Here is a 20,636-nt window from a genome sequence, read left to right as displayed (position 1 = left end):
ATGAGCTTCAGCTACGTTGCTCTGTGTTTCAGTAGCTCATTTCTTTTTACTGCTCAGTAGTGTTCCATGGACTGTGTGTACCCCACTTTGTTTATGAGTTCACCTGTTGATCAATATTTGGGTCATTTCCAGTTTGGGGATATTATTCAGTTTGGGATATTAACTACACACATTGACTGCACGTCCTTACATGGATAGATACTTTTTTTTCTCTTGGTTAAATACCAAAGAGTCAAGTAGCTAGTCATACAGTAGGTGTAGATTTCACTTTTTAAGCAACTGCCAAACTGTTTTTCCAGAGTGGTTCTACCATTTGACATTCCTACCAGCAGTGTATGAATTCTACTTCTTTTACACTCCTAGCAGCATTTGATCTGGCCGGTCTTTCTAATTTGAGCCATTCTGCTAGATGTCTTGTGGTGTCTCATTGCAGTTTTCATTGCATTACCCTGATCACTACTGCTGAGAGTCCTTCCATGTGTTAATTTGCCAGTCATTTTTCTTTTTCAGTGAAGCACCTAGTCATACCTTCTGCGTATTTTAAAGGGACTGCTTATTTTCTTATCATTAAGTTTTGAGAGTTCTGTATATATTCTAGATACAAGTCCTTTAGCAGGTATATTCTTGGCAGATATTTTCTTCCAATCTGTGGCTTGTCTTCTTTTGACACCATCTTTTGAAGAGCAGAAGTTTTAAGTTTTAATGAATTCTGATTTATCAATGAGTTCTTACATGGATCATGCTTTGATATTGTATCTAAGAAACCTTTGTGTAAACCAAAATCACAAGTATTTTTTCTACATTTTTTTCTAGACGTATTATAGTTTTGGGCTTTACATTTAGAGCTATGACTGTTGTATATGGTGTAAAGTGAGTGTTTAACATCATCTTTCTTACAAGTGGACATCCAGTTGTCCCAGTACCGTTTCTTGAAAAGACCATCTTTCCTCCCATTTAATTACCTTGGCGCCTTTGTCTAAAATACATTTACTATCAATATAAGGGTTTAATACTGTACTCTGAACTCAGTCTAGTTGATCTATATACTTACCATTGCCAGCAGTGCGTTGTCTTTATTATTGTAGCTTTCGAGTAAGGTTTTAAATTGGGGCATGTAAGTCCTCCAACATTGTTTTTTTAAAAAAGAAAAAAAAAGGTTATTTTGGGTCTTTGGTCTTTTGCATTTCCATATGAACTTTATAATCAGCAGTTTGTCAATTTTTACAAAAAAGCCTGCTGAGATTTTCATTGGGATTACCTTGAATCGAGAACTCAATCTGGGGAGAATTGGCCACTTTATTTTGATAAAATAACCTTTTTTATCCCTGGTATTGTTCTCTGCTTTGAAATCTATTTTGTCTAATATTAAAATATTAATTTAATATTAGCTAATAAAATGTTAGAATAATTTTGGAAATAATACAATTAATAAAAATATAATTTAATATTAATGTTAAATAACCACTCCAGTTTTCTTTGAATATTAGCATGGTATTTTCTATTCTTTTACTTTTAAACTATTTGTGTGTGTGTGTATGTGTCTCTCTCCCACTTCTTTTTGTTTTGTTTTGTTTTTTGTTTTTTGTTTTTGTTTTTGTTTTTGAGATGGAGTCTCACACTGTTGCCCAGGCTGGAGTGCAGTGGCGTGATCTTGGCCCACTGTAACCTCTGCCTCCCGGGTTCAAGCGATTCTCCTGCCTCAGCTTCCCGAGTAGCTGGGATTACAGGAGCCCACCACCACACCCAGCTAATTTTTGGTATTTTTAGTAGAGACGGGGTTTCACTATGTTGGCCAGGCTGGTCTCAAAATCCTGACCTCGTGATCCGCCCTCCTTGGCCTCCCAAAGTGCTAGGATTACAGGTGTGAGTCAACGCGCCCGGCCCTCTCTCTCTCTTTTTAGACACAGGTCTCACTCTGTTGCCCAGGCTAGAGTACAGTGATGTAATCATAGCTCACTGCAGCCTCCAACTCCCGGGCTCAAGTGATCCTTCTGCCTCATCCTTCAGAGTAGCTAGGACCACAGATGTATGCCACTGTGCCTGGCTAACTTCTTAATTTTTTTTAGAGATGGGTCTTGCTATCCTATATCGTTTAGGCCAGGAGTTCAAGATCAGTCTGGGCAACATAGATTCCAATAATAAGAAAAATCCTATCTACCCATGTAGTTACTGTTTCCAATGCCCTCATTTCCCTGTTTACAACCAGGTTTCTTTTTGGCATCATTTTCCTTCTGCCTAAAGGACATCCTTTAACATTTCCTGCATTGTAGGTCTGCCATTGATGAATTCCCCTGGCTTTTGTAGATCTGGAAATGTCTTTATTTCATCTTTGGTTTTGTTTTTTGTTTTGGGTTTTTGTTGTTTGTTTGTTTGTTTGTTTGTTTGTTTTTGAGATAGGGTTTCACTCCTGTCGCCCAGGCTGGAGTGCAATGGTGCGATCTCAGCTCATGGCAACTTCTGCCTCCCAGGCGCAAGCAATTCTCCTGCCTCAGCCTCCCAAGTAGCTGGGACTACAGGCGCATACCACTGCGCTCAGCTAATTTTTGTATTTTTTGTAGAGATGGGGTTTCACCATGTTGCCCAGGCTAGTCTTGAACTCCTAAGCTCAAGCCATCTGCCTGTTTCAGCCTCCCAAAGTTCTGGGATTACATACCCACATCCAGCCTGTAACCACAGTGACAGGTCACTGTGCCCAGCCCTCACCTTTGGTTTTTGAAAGTTATTTTTGCGAGGTATAAAATTCTCAGTTAAAAGGTTTTTTTTCTCAATACTTTGAAGATGTTACTTTCTTCTCACATTGTTTGATAGGAAGTCTTTCATCACTATCTTCACATAATGTGTCTTTTTTCTTTACTGCTTTTACCTTATCACCATTTTTGAAAAATTTGATTATGATATAGTATCATGTTTCTTGTATTTAGGATTCATTGAGTTTCTTGGATCTTTGGTTTATGGTTTTCATCAAACCTGAAAATTTATTGGTGATTATTTATTCACATACTTTTTTTTTTTGGGGGGGGGACAGAGTCTCGCTCTGTCGCCCAGGCTGGAGTGCCGTGGTGCAATCTCGGCTCACTGCAACCTCCGCCTCCTGGGTTCAAGCAATTCTCCTGCCTCAGCCTCCTGAGTAGCTGGGATTACAGGCGCATGCCACCATGCCCAGCTAATTTTTGTATTTTTAATAGAGACAGGGTTTCACCATGTTGGTCAGGCTGGTCTCAAATTCCTGACCTTGTAATCTACCCGCGTCGGCCTCCCAAAGTGCTGGGATTACAGGCATGAGCCACCGTAGCCGGCCTATTCACATACTTTTTATGGGCCTCCTTTTCTCTCCTCTCCATCAGGGACTCCACTTATAATTACATATATTAGGTCAATTTGTCCCATAGCTCACTGAATTTGTCCATAGCTCACTGAGACTCACTTTTATTCTTTTCCTTGGATTTTCTTCTGTTTCAATTTGAATAGTTTCTATTACTATATTGTCTAGTTCACTGATTGCTCTAGTTCAATATTTGCTTTATTAGAACCTCAGTCTGTGTCCTCCTAGATATTCCCTATACTTCCTCTAGCATAGTGCTCGTTATACTGTATTATAACATCCTGCACTTCTGTTCACCTCACTGGACTGTAAATTCCATGAGAATGGGAGCCTTTTCTGTGTGCTTCACTGACATTTCCCCAAGCCTGGCTCTGTACCTGGAATGCAGTAGGCACCAAGTGTGTATTGAATGAAAAACCGGGCTGGGCACGGTGGCTCATGCCTGTAATCCCAGCACTTTGGGAGGCTGAGGTAGGCAGATCACCTGAGGTCAGGAGATCGAGACCAGCCTGACCAACATGGAGAAACCACACTTCTACTAAAAATTCAAAAATTAGCTGGGCATGGTGGTGTGCACCTGTAGTCCCAGCTACTCGGGAGGCTGAGGCAGGAGAATCGCTTAAACCTGGGAGGCAGAGGTTGCGGTGAGCCAAGATCACGCCATTGTGTTCCAGCCTGGGCAACAAGAGTGAAACTTTGTCTCAAAAAAAAAAAAAAAAGAAAAGAAAAACTGGATGTCTGATCTACTCTTGAATTGTCTTTCAGTGTCTCAAAATCATTTGGTTTGGGGTCATGATCAGTATTATGGCCTGTTGACAGTGTGGGCCAATCTGTTCTCCATGCTGGACTGTCACCCTCTTCACCCTGGGCATGGATTGGTCATGGAGTCTTGTTTTTCTAAATCCTCCTCTTTCCCCAACTCAGATACTTTAGGGATCATCTTGTCAATCCTTGTTTTGAAAGCCCCTCTTAGAACTGTCATTTTTTACGAAGGCCTCCTCATGGGAAGGTGTTGAGGACCTTTTTTCTCATTGCACTGCCAGGAGCCACATTCTTAAATCTAATACCTCCTTATCACACGTGGCTTTGAGGTCTCTCCTAATGTTTCTGCATCAGCAGAGCCAGTTTTTGTCAATGTCCTCATTTCACTACAGTGCCACTCATGATACTGGCTCAGAATTTATCAACATTATGTAATTCAAAATATCTGATCTTTCACATTGTATTCTTATGAATTCTTTAGTATCTTGAGTTCTCATTTTTCTTGCAGCGTAGTATTTAATTTTTAAAAATGTTATAGCTATATTAATTGGAAATGTTAAAATCTAGGGATTATTTAGCTGGATATTTGCTTTGGTTTCTTGGTTGGTGAGTCTTTCTCCTCCTTAGTTTTTTTATTTTCCTAAATATATGCTCACTGTTGCATTAGCATGTTTGTACTAGCTTTTTAGTATCTAGCTGGGATGGAGCCAAATTAACATTTTGTCCTATGGTGGTAATACTTTGATATAATTTGTTTCCTTGATTCCTCATGCTTTCGCCTGCCTTCAAGCCATTGCTGTTGTTACCTCTGTCGAGATACTTTTTCTGCCCCTAGATCCATGAACATATCTTTAAGCCCAGCTTTCTTGGCCTGGCTGCTGCCCGTTAGTTCTTCTGATTTCAGTGCAGGGGACATGTCCTCAAAAGCCTTGTTCAGCCCCCTGCCCCTATCTGCCTGCCCCTCCCCACACCAGAGCTCAGTGAGATACCCCTTTTCCTAGTAACAAGCTATAGAGCCCAATACAGTGATCATGTGTGTATTCATCATTCAGCTTAAAAGCTTCAACATTACTTGAGTGCTTTTGTTGTTGTTGTTGAGATGGAGTTTTGCTCTTGTTGCCCAAGTGGAGTGCAATGGCGCAATCTTGGCTCACTGCAACCTCCGCCTCCTGGGTTCAAGCAATTCTGCCTCAGCCTCCCAAGTAGCTGGGATTACAGGTGCGTGCCACCACGCCTGGCTAATTTTTTTGTATTTTTAGTAGAAACGGAGTTTCGTCATGTTAGCCAGGCTGGTCTGGAACTCCTGACCTCAGGTGATCCGCCTGCCTCGGCCGCCCAAAGTGCTGGGATTACAGGTGTGAGCCACCACGCCTGGCCTACTTGACAACATTTAAAGCCCCTGTTAATCCTTTCCCAAGTGTGTTCTTCCCAATTCAGCTCCCTTTTCTATTCTACATTTAGTCTTTATCATCCCATTTTAATGCGTGCATTTATTTATTTATTTATATTTTCTTAAATATATATATTTCCTTAAATGATAGATTGTCTTTTTTTTGCTATTTTAAAGTTTATATAAATTATAGCATATTGTACTTATAAATTTGCTGTTTTCATTCAACATTATGTTTTTGAGATTTATCTGTGTTGACAGACGTAGCTCTAAATTATTCATCTTGGCTGCTATATAGTATGTCATTGTACAGATATACTAGGTTGTTTCCAATATTTCACTATTAAAAACAATGCTGCAAGAAAAAAAGTAAATGCTGGGAAGAGTATTTATGAACATGTGCGAGGGTTTCTCTAGCACCTCACCAGTATTGCCTGACGATAGGGCATGCTGGTATTCAACTCTCCTGACATCACTAAACACCCTCCAAATGAGTGGACTGACTCATGTTCTCACCTGCAGTGTGATAGAGACCTCATCGCCCTACAGACCACCGCACTTGGTATTACCAGATTTTTAAGTTTTTGCCAATTTGATGAGTGTGGATTAGTATCTTATTGTGACTTAATTCACATTACTTTTATTAGTAATGAGGGTCAGTGTATTTTTATGTTTATTTGTCATTTGAATTTTTTCAATGACTCACTTGTTTATTTCTTTTGCCCATTTTCAGTTTAGTGGTTTGTCTTTTTCTTATTAATTTGTAAAAGTTCTTTATGTATTATGAATACTAGTCTTTTGTGCCCTTATATAATTATCTTCTCCCAGTCTGTGGTTGGTTTGTTTTTCTCAGATTGGATTCTATGTCTTTGATTTACAGATTTTTAAAAAATATTGTCAAATTTGTGGTCTTTTCCTTTAAGGTTTGTACCTCTCTGTGTCTCATTTAAGGAACCCTATCTTACTTGGAGATCATAAAGATCCTCAAATTCTCTTTTTTTTTCGCCTATAATGTGTTCTATGATAGCAAATTCTCTCTTAATAAAGTTACTTTTTACATTGAGTCTTTAATTCCCTTGGAATTTGTTTTTATTTAGGTCTAAGGTAGCGATCTGATTATTTTTCCATTTGGGTAACTGTTTGTTATAGCTATTGTTATTGTAAGAACTACAGTAATTTGTAATGCCTCTGTCATTTGTGAATTTTGACAAATGCATAGGTCTGTTTCTAGGCTCTCAATTCTGTGCCTTTGGTCTATTTCCATATTCTTACCACTCTTTTAACTTCCAATAGTTTCATTACAGATGTGTATTCCCAGAGTGTCGACTACCTAACGTGGTCATCGTTCCGTTGCTAGGGATTGCCTTCCCTCTACTGTAGGCTCCTTGAATTTTTTCAATATTTTATTCCAAGAAACAAGCACAGTGTCTACCAGTTGATAGGTAATCGCTAAATGTTATTGAAGGAAAGAGTAAAACCAGGGACTTACATCTTAGTTATCGAGTGCTAAATACAGCTAACGGATTATTGGGGTGTGGGGGAGCAATTTTTAAGGAAAAATATGTAGCATTCATTCTTACAGCCTATATTCACTAGGTAACGGAATTTCCTCCAGTAGTGTATATATTATTTAAATATTAATTATTTGTAGGTTATGTGTTTGAAGAACTAGCATTTTTCATAATAGCTGGCACGTGGCAGGATTTTGATGAATACAATGAATGAATTCTTCTAGTTAAGAAAAGAGTCTTCTTAAGAATATTTTTAGGACCAGGGGCGGTGGCTCACACCTGTAATCCCGGCACTTGGGGAGGCTGAGGCAGGCAGATCACAAGGTCAGGAGTTCAAGACCAGCCTGGCCAACACAGTGAAACCCCATCTCTACTAAAAATACAAAAATTAGCTGGGCATGGTGGCACGTGCCTGTAGTCCCAGCTACGTGGGAGGCTGAGGCAGGAGAATCATTTGAACCCAGGAGGTGGAGGTTGTGGTGAGCCGAGTTCACGCCACTGCACTCCAGTCTGGGTGATAGAGTGAGACTCCATCTCAAAAAAAAAAAAAAAAAAAGAACAAATTTTTAACAGTGAATATGTATTTTATAGAAGACCCTTTTTACAACTTTAAGGAAAGTTATTGGTTGTTCAAAATCATATATTTAAATCATATATTTAAAATATATGATATTTTGAAGACAATATATTAAGTTCCCATGGGCAATGTATTACCACCTGAAGTTGCTGGGTATAAGTTGCACTTCAGTTTTGAAGGACATCTGGGTTGTTTCCAGTTTTGGGTTATTAAGATAAGGTTGCCAAAGACATTCATATACAGGTTTTTGTGTGTACTTGTCTTTATTTTTCTGGGATAAGTGTGCACAAGTCAACTGTTGGATCATATATTTTTAAATATATTACTGAATTCTATATGCTAATATTTATTAAAGGATTTTGTGTGTATGTTTATGAGGGATATTAATCTGTCTTCATCTGGTTTTTGTTTCAGGGTACTACTAGTTTCATAAAATGAATTGGGAAGTGTTCCTTCCTCTTGTGCTTTTTGGGAGATATCGTGGAATTGGTGTTAATTCTCCTTTAAATATTTGATAGAATCCTCTAATGAAATCATCTAGGCCTAGATATTTATTTTTGGGGAGTTTTAAAATTATGAGTTCAAGTTCCTTAATAGTTATACAGTTGCTCACATTATCTCTTTCATATTTGGTGAATTTCAGTTGTTTTTGCTTTTTGAAGAATTGGTCCATTTTGTCTAAGTTGTGAAATTTACGTGCGTGTGATTTTTCATAACATTTCCTTATCCTTTTGATGTCTTAGGGTCTGTAGTGATATTCCTGGTTTCATTTCTGATATTCATAATTTGTGTCTTCTCTGTTTTTTCTTTGTCAATCTACTGAGAGTTTTGTCAATTTTATTGATCTTTTCATTGATTTTCTCTACTATTTTTCTATTTTCAATTTATCGATTTCCATATTATTTCCTTTTTCTGCTTGATTTGGGTTTATTTTGCTTTTCTTTTTCTAGGCTTTTTAGGTATAAGCCTAGATTATTGCTTTGAGACTTTTTCTTTTTTCTCATGTATGCATTTTTAGTGCTATAAATTTTCCTCTCAGCACTGCTCTATCTTTAACCCATACATTTTGACATGTTATAGTTTGTCCAAAAAAAAATTGCATCAGAGTTAAACGTGTAAGGGAGAGTTTATTTAAGATTATAGCAACAGGGGAGAGAGATTGAACTCAACTCCAAATACCACACTGGCAGCTGGAGATTTATAACCAACAGAGGGGGTGAGGGTTCAGTAGATGGAAAATTACCAAAAAAATCTTGGCTGGGTATCAAGGATGGCGGAGGTGGGGGTGGGGGATTAAAAAAAAACCACAATCACGGGTTTTTGTGTGGTGTTTGGCTGGAGTAGTATAGTTATTGTCTAAAGGTTTTCTTTCTCGCTAGGCTGTCCTTTTCCTGGTCCTTTGGCTAATGAGAGCAGGCTTTTGTTAGGTTTTGTTTTTTTGTTTTGTTTTGTTGTTGTTTTTGTCTGTGGTTATTGGCATTTCCAGGCTACTGGCTTGTCTGGGACACATTAGGCAAAAAGAAACCTGGGACTCACCTCTGTGAGATTCTTTGGGTCCCACGGTCCCTAGCCAGTCTGCCGTATTTTCTCCACCTTTCCGAGTCTCTTACACTTGCCCAGGGTTTTAGTTGTATCTTGGGACAGGGATAGGGAACGTGTTTACACAACCTTCCTGGAAGCAGAAGTCTCCTTATTGGCAGCTTTAATCGAACAAAATACTTGATAGCACAGGGGTAGTTTTGAGAAACCCTCCAGTGCATATTTTGTTCCCAGCACCTCTTGCTACTTAGAGACTGCCTGCCCAGTAGGGCTGAGGCCTCTATTACTTCAGAGGGAGAGGGAGTTACAGCTGAGAATAAAGGAATCAGTGTTCAGCTCTGGCTTTCAACTAGAACTTGTGAAAGGGCACAGCAGAAACAAGAAAAGTATCGGCATGAGAGATCAAAAAGTGTTTTGTTTTGTTAATTTTTGAATTTCAGAAGCTTCCTTTTAAATATCAAGACTCAAAGCCTTGTATTTTTAGAGTTTAACATTATAAAGGAAGCCATTGAGTAGAGAGGATGCAAGAGACCCACTTCACAGGAGGGAGAGGGTACCTCCTTGGCTTGGAAGAGGTGCTGAGGGGGAGAGCATGAGAGCAGAACCAAGAGCTGAGCACACTTTGAAAGAGTCTTTGAAAGGCTCTGACTTCCTCTGGCCCCTCTGGGTTAGAAACTCAGAGCGTGGGTGGAAAGCCAGAGGAGGGGAATGCCAGCGCCCCACAGGCTGGGTCGCAGTCTCCAGGAGTGCCATGCCGAGGGGGCCGAGCTCTCCAAGGAGCCTGAGAGGGGGCTGGAAGCTCCTGTGGTCCTGGGGTCCTGCACTCCCCTGGTATGGAAACCAAGGCTGCCCATGTTTTCTGGGTTCTCACTGGTTCATGGAGGAGAGCTGTGAGATGGACAGCCAAAAGCCAGGTGCACAGGGAGGGTGCCATTGAGCTTCAGGAGGTAACAGTGTCGCCAGAGCCAGCACCAGGGCCCAGTTGGCAGAGGACATATGCCAGATGCTGGCCGTGCTGAGAGCACAGAACGCACCGCAGTCCTTCATGAACACTTCACCAACAGAGCAGACAGGGCAAGGACATGGGCAGCCGAGGCCCACAAGGACAGGGTGGCCACAGCTGGGGACACAGGACCCTCTCTTCAGGTGCCGGGGGGTATGTAGGCTCCCAGCATCATCCACCACCCCAGACACCACCTTGGGAAGCAGAAGTGTGAGTGGAAGGAGAAGGACAGAGAGGGGAGAGCAGCTGGGCTCTGAATCCACCAGCTGTGAATGCCACACTGACCAAGTGCTTTCCCCACATGTCTAAACTGGAGGTTAAAATACCACAATCCATGTGTTCAGGCAGACTTTCAGTTGCAGATCACACAAAACCAAACTCAGCTGACCTAAACAATTAAGGGTATGTCTCAGCTTACCTGACCTAGAAGGCCGAAGAAGGGCTAGCTTCAGGCAAGGTCTGATCTGGCAGCCTACATTATATGGGCACACCCAGCTTCTCTCTGCCCTTTCCTCAGCCTCTTTCTTGCATAGCCTCCCCACGGGTCCCAGCAGGCCTGGGCGGTGCTTGCTGGGTTTCTCTCCAGTGGGGATGCAGAGCGCCTCATGCAGCTTCACAGAAGGATGAAGAAGTGCGTCTCACAGATGCCTTGGCAAGTGTCTCCCTGTGTCTCCACGGCCTGACGATGAAGTCTGCTGGTTGGCTTAAAGGAGGGGGGTGGTGGGCACCGTCATGAAGATCCGAGTGCCATTTTCTAAACAAAATGGAAAAGAAAGTATTGTGTGGCCCCAAATAGCTGTGTCCTCCACAAGTGGCAATTTTTTTTTTTCCCCGAGACAGAATCTCACTCTGTCATCCAGGCTGGAGTGCAGTGGCGTCATCTTGGCCCACTGCAACCTCCACCTCCCTGATTCAAGCAATGCTCATGCCTCAGCCTCCTGAGTAGCTGGGATTACAGATGTACAACCACCATACCTGGCTAATTTTTGTATTTTTAGTAGAGATGGGGCTCTGCCATGGTGGCCAGGCTGGTCTTGAACTCCTGGCCTCAAGTGATCCATTCACCTTGGTCTCCCAAAGTGCTGGAATTACAGGCATGAGCCACTGCGTCCAGCCCAAGTGGCAAATTATTTTATTCCTACAGTCAGCAGAAATAAGAGTTACAAATTTTAAACCTATTCCATGCATCAATTTAACAAATCCTGGCCAGGCACGGTGGCTCACACCTGTAATCCCAGCACTTTGGGAGGCTGAGGCGGGTGGATCATAAGTTCAGGAGTTCGAGACCAGCCTGACCAACAAGGTGAAACCCCCGTCTCTACTAAAAAGAGAAAAATTAGCCAGGTGTGGTGGCGCACGCCTGTAATCCCAGCTACTCAGGAGACCGAGGCAGGACAATCACTTGAACTGGCAGGCAGAGGTTGTAGTGAGCCAAGATTGTGCCACTGCACTGTAGTCTGGGCGACAGAGTGAGACTCTGTCTCAAAAAAATAAATAAATAAATAAATAATCCCTTTGAATGTACCCAACAAAAGGTGAAAGAGCTATTTATTACTTACCTTTTGAGTTCTAATAGGAAGTGTTCTATTCTGTTTTCCAGAACCCCAGCCACTCGTAAGTTGTTATTTCCTGGAGAGTCTTATAAAATTTTCTTCAGGGCACTGACTTGCACCCCCAGATGGAGAGCTCTGCCTTTCTTTCCTGATGTAGTCTTTAGGCTCTGTTTTCATTAGGACCCACATAAATGATATAAGTGCTATTCTGAAGTAATTCTAATCAAGGCCTTTACGTTGTTGCCATGTTATTTTTCTGCTTTCCTGATGAATATTCCTCCCATATAATTTAAATATCTATCAAAAGATTTATTAGCAAGGTGTTCATATACCACATAATTACTGCTAAATCTGCACTATTTGAAACCCAAATGAACTTTTAAAATCTTTATACTTTATTATTTTGAGTGATTTAATATTTTCCTATTTCTATCTAGAGTAAACTGAGCCATCCCCTCATTCCATGCATCACCTCACAGTGGGAAGAGGAGCGTTCTGGTACTTTCTGTGCATTGCCTCTTGACAGGGACATATGCAGAGCAGGTTCCACTGTGTGCAGCGCACATTGCTATTTTCTCTTCTATTCAGTTCACCTTTGAAAGTGCTGTTTGTGACCCACTAAGGAACTGGGACCTGCAGTTTAAAATGGATTATCAGGGCCAAAGGCTGGCAGGTGGAGGAGCCTGGCCTCCCTTTGAGTCACGCTGCCCAGCACAGTGACCACAGCCTTGCTGACCCCAGGGGAGCTGCGGGCCCCAAGCTCCGGCCAGCCCTGCTTGGCAGAGGCTCACGCTTCCCCCTGGGGGCCTGGCCCGTTTCCGTGGCTCCTCCCTCTCCCCACTCTGCCCTGCTGGTGACCCAGTGTGGCTCTGCCCTTCCCCTCTGACCCTGCGGCTTGTCCCCTTCCCAGAGGAGGGGCTCCTCTCCCTCTGCCCATTTGTTGTGGTCAAGGGTGCTCATCCTTGCTCCTCGGAGTCCACTGCATGAGCATCTCCTTTCCCGGCAGCTTCCATGCCTGCGCACATGCTCACCAGTCTCAACCCTCTTCATTCAGCTTTCCTTCAGGAATATCAGGAAAAAAAAAAAAGGCACAGTGATTTCACCTTTTTCTTTTCTTTTCTTTTCTTTTTTTTTGAGACAGAGTCTCACTCTGTTGCCCAGGCTGGAGTGCAGTGGCACATTCTTGGCTCACTGTAACCTCTGCCTCCCGGGTTCAGAGTAGCTCAGCCTCCCGAGTAGCTGGGATTACAGACATGCACCACCACACCTGGCTAATTTTTGTATTTTTACTAGAGACCAGCTTTCATCTTATTGGCCAGGCTGGTCTCGAACTGCTGACCTCAAATGATCCGCCCACCTCAACCTCTCAAAGTGCTGGGATTACAGGTATGAGCCACCGTGCCTGGCTGATTTCACCATTTTTAAGCCAGATCTTTGGCTTCTCCTCTGAGCTACCCTGTGGGGGTGGCGATTCCTCAGCTCAACTGGTCACACAGGCTGGAGCCCAGGGGTCCGGGCTGGGCACCAAAGCCTTTGGGCCTCCTGGTATAGCTGTCCCCACCCTTGTTGCCTGCACATCTTGGTGCCAGCCTTCCAGCTCCCCACCCACCTTCCTGCTCTCATCCCTCCAGCCGGGAGAGTCAGAAATGCAAGCCCAGCTCCACAGCTCCAATCCCTAAAGTCTCCAGTGGCTCCCAGAGCTCTTGGGGTAACTAATGTCTGGTCTCCTCACCTAGCTCTTAGGGCTTTGGGTGGTCTGACCCCACCTGCTTCTCCAACCCCATTTCCTGTCACTCTCCATTCATCATCATTCATTCAACAGATGTTTTCTGAACACCTGTGTGCCAGGATGTTCAGGGTGCTTGCACTGTATGGGTCAAAACTCTATCCTGGCTGGGCACAGTGGCTCATGCCTATAATCCCAGCACTTTGGGAGGCTGAGGTGGGCGGATCACAAGGTCAGGAGTTGGAGACCAACCTGGCCAACATGATGAAACCTTGTCTGTACCAAAAATACAAGAATTAGCTGGGCGTGGTGGCGTACACCTATAATCCCAGCTACTCGGGAGGCTGAGGCAGGAGAATCATTTGAACCCAGGAGGAGGAGGTTGCAGTGAGCCAAGATCACACCACTGCACTCCAGCCTGGGTTACAGAGTAAGACTCTGTTCCCCCACCGACCCGCCCCCCGACCGAAGAAACACCTCTGCTCTATGGAGTCTTGGAGATAGAGGGCATGAGACAGCCAATACGCATGTGGAATGAGAAACGATACAGAGGAGAGTGAAATGTGAATGTATGGAACGTATGTAGTGGGGGGACGATTGCCAGCCTCGGGAAAGCAGTGTTCAAGAGGTTGGGGAGGGGGCAGCTGAGCAGAAGCTTTAGTGGGTGAGGGGGGCCACGGGAGTGTATCAGGAGGAGCAGGCAGAGGGGGCTGCCCATCCAAGCCACTCACAGGGTTCCAGACCCCACATGGTGTCAGGGCCACACTGCCCTTCAGGCTGCAGGTCAGGCTCCACGAGCTGCTTAGGTCAAGTGCAGTGGCATCAGCCTGGCTCAGGTGCCATAGCAGGTGTGCTGCTGTGGCCCTCACTCTGAGCTCTGTGCCAGCTGCCCTTTTCTGTGTTTTTGTTGTGGTTTTCACTTGGATTTTCTTTTAATCAAGAAAAATTATTTCAAGAGACCGCTGGCATTGTCTGGCGGACCCTGGAGGCAACAGAACCTTGGCTTAGGGCAGAACTGAGTTCAAATCTCAGCTCAGTCAATAGATGTGTTACTCTAGCAAGTTACTTAACTTATGGAAACCTCACTTTTCTCATCCATGAAATGATAAAAGCAGCACCTTCTTTGCTAGGTTATTGTGAAAATTATTTATTTTTCGTCTTACTCATTCAGCCACTATTTGTGAATTGCTCCTGTGTGCTGGGCTGTGTAGTAGGTGCTGGGGACACGGTGAAAACGCCGTGGGCCCTGCCCCGGGAGGCTGTGTCCAGAGGGCAGAGTGCCGTGTGGCTGTTCTGCACAGCACCTCTCAGGTGCCTCACACAGCCTGGCACGTGTGGGGCGACTGCCACAGCTTTCTCAAGACAAGGAGAGCCAGCATGCCCTCAGGCTGGCCAAGACCCTGTGACTATCACTTTCCTTTGGCTTCATTCCAGAGGCTGCAAGGACATAGTCAACACATTAAAAGCAGGGCTGCCATCACCTTTTCCTTATTTCCACCACCTCCCCAGTTTGGCACCTTCCATCTGGAGCTTCAGTCAGGTAGACAGATGAAGATACCCAGGCCCACACAATACCTAGGGAGAAAAGCAACGGGCTCATGTACCTCCTGGGCGCAACCCCTTCACCCACAGCTGAGACTATTCCCTGCATAGCATTCCACTAACAGCTACTGAGATTTTAACAAATGCCACATTGTAGAATTAAAACGTCATCTCAGCACCTTGCCTTTCACTGAATGTTAAATAAAGGCTGTTAACATTCAATTTTTTTAGATCAGTTCTCTTATTTGCAAAAACATACCAAGTTCACCATGAAAACAGATGCTGGGATGTGCCCCATCCACATGGCTGGCACTTTCCCCTGCAACCACTCATGGGAGACTTGGGCTGCCCAGAGCAACCCATGAGGGCTGAGCACAGGTGCCTTCCTCTGCGGGGTTCAGCTGGGCTTATTTAACAGGCAGCTGAGAAGTGATCTCCACACATTTTGATGTCCACAGTAATAGCAGAAAACTGTATACCCTAGAGGAGATTAAAATTGTAAGAAAATTATTCCAGTTTGCTTCCATCTCCGTAGTTTGGGGAACTTAAACTAGTCATTCTGCTGTATGATTGCGTTACTGTGTGCTCTCTCTGCTCAGCTTAGGAGACACATGGGCATGGTCTCCGCCCCCTGGACATTCGTTGGACCTGGGAGATGAAATGTTCATGGGTGGTCAACACGAGGGGACCAGCTTATGTAATGTAAATAACATGATTGACTCCAACAAATTAGGAGTATGCTGGTTCTGAGGCTTTCACCTGCAGAAACATTCAGATATCACCATTTGCTCTCGGCCTGGGTGGCCAGCTCCTCGCCCGAGGAGAGTAATGGGGAGTCTAGCCCCTCCCAGTAGAGGATGCCTGCAGGTAGTGATCGCTTCTCTATTCTTCTTCCACGAACGGTTCCCCTGCGTGCTAGCACGTGGTGTTGGTCTGTGACGGCAGCCGCTTGCTAGAGTGATGTCTGACTTCGATGCTCTCATGGGCGTGTGATAGCCACGCTTTCATCCACACCCCCAGTGTGCTGGGTGACCCCCACAGGCTTCTCCCACATTTGGACTCTCACCTGGTGGGACCCAGCTTCCTCCCAGATGTTCGGACTCTTGTTAGTTGTCGCTTCCCACCACAGTCACTTTGGTCACCCTCGGTCTTTGGTAGTTCACGTGCTGTATGTGCTAATTGCTCACGTAGACACCTGTGAACATGCGTTTGCTCATGAGGCGTTAGGGACGGCACTCTGTCTGATGGCTGCTTGCATCACAGAGGCCCATAGAGAAGCGCAGCAGTGTTTCATGTGTTTGGAAATGTGAACCCGTGCACATGAACAGACATTCACAGATCTGGTTGGCGCACAGTGCCACAACCAACGGGGAGCATTGGCCATGAAAAGCTTGGCACGGGCTGATATCTCCTCCAGAGAGGCCTTGCTGAAGGCCCATGAAGGTTGGTTACAGAAGAAACACATGTGGTTCTGTGGCCGCTTCCTGTCTCCTGATTTCTTGGAACTCTGCCATGAGTGAGGCTGATTTCCCCAGCCTCACTCCTCAGGGGCCTGAAGTACTCTCTTCTTCCCTCAGAGCACCATGGAGAGTCTCCTGTGACACCCTTTCATTTTGTTCATTTGAACCCTGCGTTATGTGACTTGTATGTGTGATACACACGTCATGACAGACAATAACTCCCAGAAGGCCAGATTTGTGTGCGAGTTCATTTTGCATTGCTGCCCTGGGCTGCATATCGTGGTGCTTTCTCTGTAGCGGAACATCATCAGTATTGGGGGGATGCGTGCACAAGGCACAAGCAGAAGGAAGGAGTTTAGTCGAAGGTGGCAATTTGTACGTTATGTGTATTCAATTTTTATTACTGACATGCTTTCAATGCCTCTCTGTCTCACTCATTCAGTAAACACGCACGTATTACATACTTTCTATGTGTGAGGTGCTCCTGGAAAGGGGGATCCAGGTCTCCAGCTGTTCAACGTTGTGATCAGTACTTGGTCTGAACTGAGAGATGTCAAGGATGCTCTTCAGAGCATTGTGACAGACCCCCAGCCTGCTTAATTAGGGAGCTAGAGGAGGTTTCCTCCTTAAGGAAAGGAGGAAGTCTGCTTGTGTGCAGATTTGAAGGATGAGGAGAAGTCGTGGTATCAAAAAGGTGGGGAGGTTAAAACAATAATGAGATCCCACTACATACCTATTAGAACGACTAAGATCAAAAAGCAAAACAAACAAACAAACAAAAACCTTACATTATTAATTGGTGAGGGTGTGGAGCAACAGGCACTCATTCATTGCTGGTGGGAATGAAAAATGGTACAGCCACTTTTCGAGTTTGGCAGTTTCTTTCAAAACTAAATACCATATGATCCAGCCATTACACACCTAGGCATCCACCAAATTAATTTGAAAACTTATGTCCACACAAGAACCTGCACACAAATGCTTATGGCATCTTTATTCATAATCACCAAAAACTGGAAACAACCAAGATGTCTTTTTAGAAGTGAATAGATAAATAAACTGTGACACATTCATACTGAGAAATATTATTCAGTGATAAAAAGGAATAAGCTACAAAGCCATAAAAAGGCATGGATGAATCTTAAATTCATATTGCCAAATGAAATAAATCAATCTGGAAAGGCTACATACCACACGATTCCAAATTATGTGACATTTTGGAAAAGGTAAAACTGTAGACACAGTAAACAGATGAGTGGTTTCCAAAAGTTCAGAGCTGGCACTTGGGGATGAGGTTGGATAAGTAAAGCTCCGGGGATCGTTTAGGGCGGTAAAACTATTTTGTATGATACTATGATGGTGGATAGCTGACAGTATGCATTTGTCAAAACCAATAGAATGTACAACAGCAAGAGTGAACTATAATGTATGTAAATTTTTAAAAGTCATTTATGAAGTCGGGGGATCTCAGGATGGGAGACAGAATGTGACATGTCCATCTAATTATATTAAATTTGTGTGAAACAACCTCACTGGGGAAAGTTGTTGGGGGGCAGGGGGAGAAAAGAGATGCTGACCTGAAACAAATGGAGTCTTAAAGACAAAAGACAGAAGCAACTGAACACAATTATTGCACTCTAGTTAATAAAGTTGTTTTCCACAGGGGTACAGGTGAACAATTCTGCTACCACTATGTACATATACTGGAATTAAACATGCAGTATTTGTCTGTCTATACCTGGTTTACTTCACTTAGCATAATGGCCTCCAGGCTTATCCATGTTGCTGCGAATGACAGGATGTCATTCTTTTTATAGCAGAATGGTATTTCATTGTGTATATTTACCACATTTTCTTTATCCATTCACCCATTGATGGGCACTTAGGCTGATTCCATATCTCGACTGTTGTGAACGGGGCTGCAGTAAACATGGGAGTGCAGATACTTATTTGTCATACTGATTTCCTTTCTTTTCCATACATCCCCTGCAGTGGAATTGCTGGATCATATGGCATTTTAATTTTTCTTTTTTTGAGGAACCTCCATATTGTTTTCCATAGTGGCTGCACTAATTTACTTTCCCACCAACAGTATATCAGAGTTCCCCCTTTCTTTGCATTATTGACAGCATGTTATTTTTTTTTTTTTTTGCCATTTTTTATAATAGCCATGTAAATTTACATCAGGCTGGCCTCAAACTCCTAGGCACAAGTGATCCTCCTGCCTTGGGTTCCCAAAGTGCTGGGATTACAGGTGGGATCCACTGTGCCCAGCCACAAGCTATTTTTATATTTCATATTCTACCACTTCAAATAAGATGCAAAAGGCTTACAAAAGCCATTGAACTCAAAAAAGCTGATTTATTATATTTACCCAGATACTGACCATTTCTGTTGCTCATCTTTCATTCCTGAAGTTCCAGGTTTCCCTTTGGAAGCATTTCCCTTCAGCCTGAAGAATTTCCTGTAGCATTTCTTTTAGAGCAGGTCTGCAGATGACAGAGTACTTTAATTTTTATTCATCTGAGAATGTCTTTCACTCACCTTCATTCCTGGAGGATAGAATAAAGAGCTCTGAGCTGGCAGTTCTTTCAGTCTGTGGAAGTTGTGGCTCCATTGTCTTCTGGTCTGCATGGTCCCTGACAGGAAATCTGCAGTCACTCACATTGCTGTTCCTCAGCATGAAAAGTGTCATTTTACCCTGGCTAGTTTCAAGATGATTGTTTTTAAATCACAGTTTTTTCAGCAGTTTGATTATGATGTTTCTGGGCCTGGTTATCTTTTAATTTACCATATTTAGGGTTGTTCAGCTTCTCAAATTGGAAAAAGTATGTCTTTCACTAAATTTCAGAATTTGAAGCCATTATTTCTTTAAGAAAACTTTTTTCTGCACAATTCTCTTTCTTTTCTCTAGGAACTAAGAGAACACAATTTGATATTGTATTTTGATATTAGCCCACAGGTCCTTGAGTCTTTGTTTATTGTTCTTCCCTTCTTTAGATTGGATCATTTCTATTGATCTCTCTTCAAATTCAATAGCTGTTTTCTCTGTCATCTCTACACTATTATTGAGCTTATCCTGTAAATATTGGGTATTTTTTGAGGTATCATGTGATTCTAATGTATAGAAAACTTGAGAGCCACTGACTTAATACCCCAAGGCCTTCATGTCCTCATCTTAAAAAAATGAGGATGACAATGTGGCCTTACCACTTCCCAGGGCTTCTAGGGGGAACTAAGGAGCATTGCTGTAAGATTGCAGGACTTTGATGCTTGGCACAATTCGTCAGATTTAGCCAGGGAGTCAAGACCAACTAATAATGCCCAGTGAGTTCTATTCCCAGACAAAGCAGGGTATTATTGTCCAAGGTACTGCCAAGAATCCAAAGGATGTTGTGACAGAAATTCTCATGATTTGAATAGTTGAAACGGGCTAGAAGCATGTGAACTATTGCACATTGCCCAAGTTGTAAAAGTGTGAAGGTGCTTAACAGATGGCCCTAAGAGTTTGCAGGGGACGTAGCACAAGCCACCAAGTTTAGGACAGGCTAAGACAGAGGCAGGTACGAAGTGCCAGGAGCAGTGAGGGAGGGGAATGACCAGCATCAAAGAGACCAGAATTTTCATCTTAAAATGTGTTCTAAAATAAAAGTACAATATACAAATTTCACATAAATCTACCATTAGCGTATGTTGTAGGAATTTTTAAGTTAACTGAGTTCATAATTTGGGCTGCTGTAAAAAGAATGACTGTACATAATTATGTTAAGGGTCACACAGGCTAGAGTCAAAAGGAATTGTTCTCAAATCTGCTAAGTACATTTAGTGGTGTATTCACCAAAATTATGTTTTGATATTAGACAACTGTATTAAGTATTAATGTGCTTATGCATGTTACATTGGCTTACTTGTTTTAATGTTTAATAAAATGTGATGTACATTAAATACCCTAAGTAGTACAGATTAAGAGTAGATATTTTAACTAAAGCTAGTCTCTTATTATTAACAGAATATCCAAGGTATCTCCAAGCACCCAATTCAGATTACTACACCTAAGAATTTTAAAGGTAACTCATTTCTTACTACCTTGCTAAAGTCTCTGGTAACTCTCTTTTGAGATAGGGTGTCACTCTGTCACCCAGGCTAGAGTGCATTTGTGCGATCACAGCTCACTGCAGCCTTGACCTCCTGGGCTCAGGTGATTCTCCCACCTCAATCTCCTGGGTAGCTGGGCCTACAGGCACACACCAC

The 20,636-nt window shown here is 43.1% G+C and overlaps 1 protein-coding gene across 1 annotated transcript in view, besides 4 other annotated features; it reads left to right on the top strand.

Moving 5' to 3' along the window:
- The window catches only part of POLN (DNA polymerase nu), a 170,204-nt gene that overhangs the window by 90,437 nt on the left and 59,131 nt on the right, over positions 1 to 20,636 (top strand). The window contains exon 17 of the mRNA NM_181808.4: positions 20,395 to 20,452. Within this exon, the coding sequence (NP_861524.2) occupies positions 20,395 to 20,452 (58 nt within the window). The remainder of the gene's footprint in view (positions 1 to 20,394; positions 20,453 to 20,636) is intronic.
- Positions 9,117 to 9,638: an enhancer, noted in NCBI's record as "OCT4-NANOG-H3K4me1 hESC enhancer chr4:2143774-2144295 (GRCh37/hg19 assembly coordinates)". NCBI's record gives its function as "activates a minimal SCP1, AML or CMV promoter by ChIP-STARR-seq in naive and primed H9 embryonic stem cells {active_cell/tissue: H9 hESC(naive and primed)}" and the evidence as "EXISTENCE:reporter gene assay evidence [ECO:0000049][PMID:30033119]".
- Positions 9,894 to 9,973: an enhancer, noted in NCBI's record as "active region_21164". NCBI's record gives its function as "activates an Ori minimal core promoter by ATAC-STARR-seq in GM12878 lymphoblastoid cells {active_cell/tissue: GM12878}" and the evidence as "EXISTENCE:reporter gene assay evidence [ECO:0000049][PMID:35858748]".
- Positions 15,494 to 15,993: an enhancer, noted in NCBI's record as "H3K4me1 hESC enhancer chr4:2137419-2137918 (GRCh37/hg19 assembly coordinates)". NCBI's record gives its function as "activates a minimal SCP1, AML or CMV promoter by ChIP-STARR-seq in primed H9 embryonic stem cells {active_cell/tissue: H9 hESC(primed)}" and the evidence as "EXISTENCE:reporter gene assay evidence [ECO:0000049][PMID:30033119]".
- Positions 15,994 to 16,495: an enhancer, noted in NCBI's record as "H3K4me1 hESC enhancer chr4:2136917-2137418 (GRCh37/hg19 assembly coordinates)". NCBI's record gives its function as "activates a minimal SCP1, AML or CMV promoter by ChIP-STARR-seq in primed H9 embryonic stem cells {active_cell/tissue: H9 hESC(primed)}" and the evidence as "EXISTENCE:reporter gene assay evidence [ECO:0000049][PMID:30033119]".

The sequence above is a fragment of the Homo sapiens genome, chromosome 4 (assembly GCF_000001405.40).
Source record: "Homo sapiens chromosome 4, GRCh38.p14 Primary Assembly".
NCBI lineage: Eukaryota > Metazoa > Chordata > Mammalia > Primates > Hominidae > Homo > Homo sapiens.
This window is presented reverse-complemented; position numbering and strand designations above follow the sequence as displayed.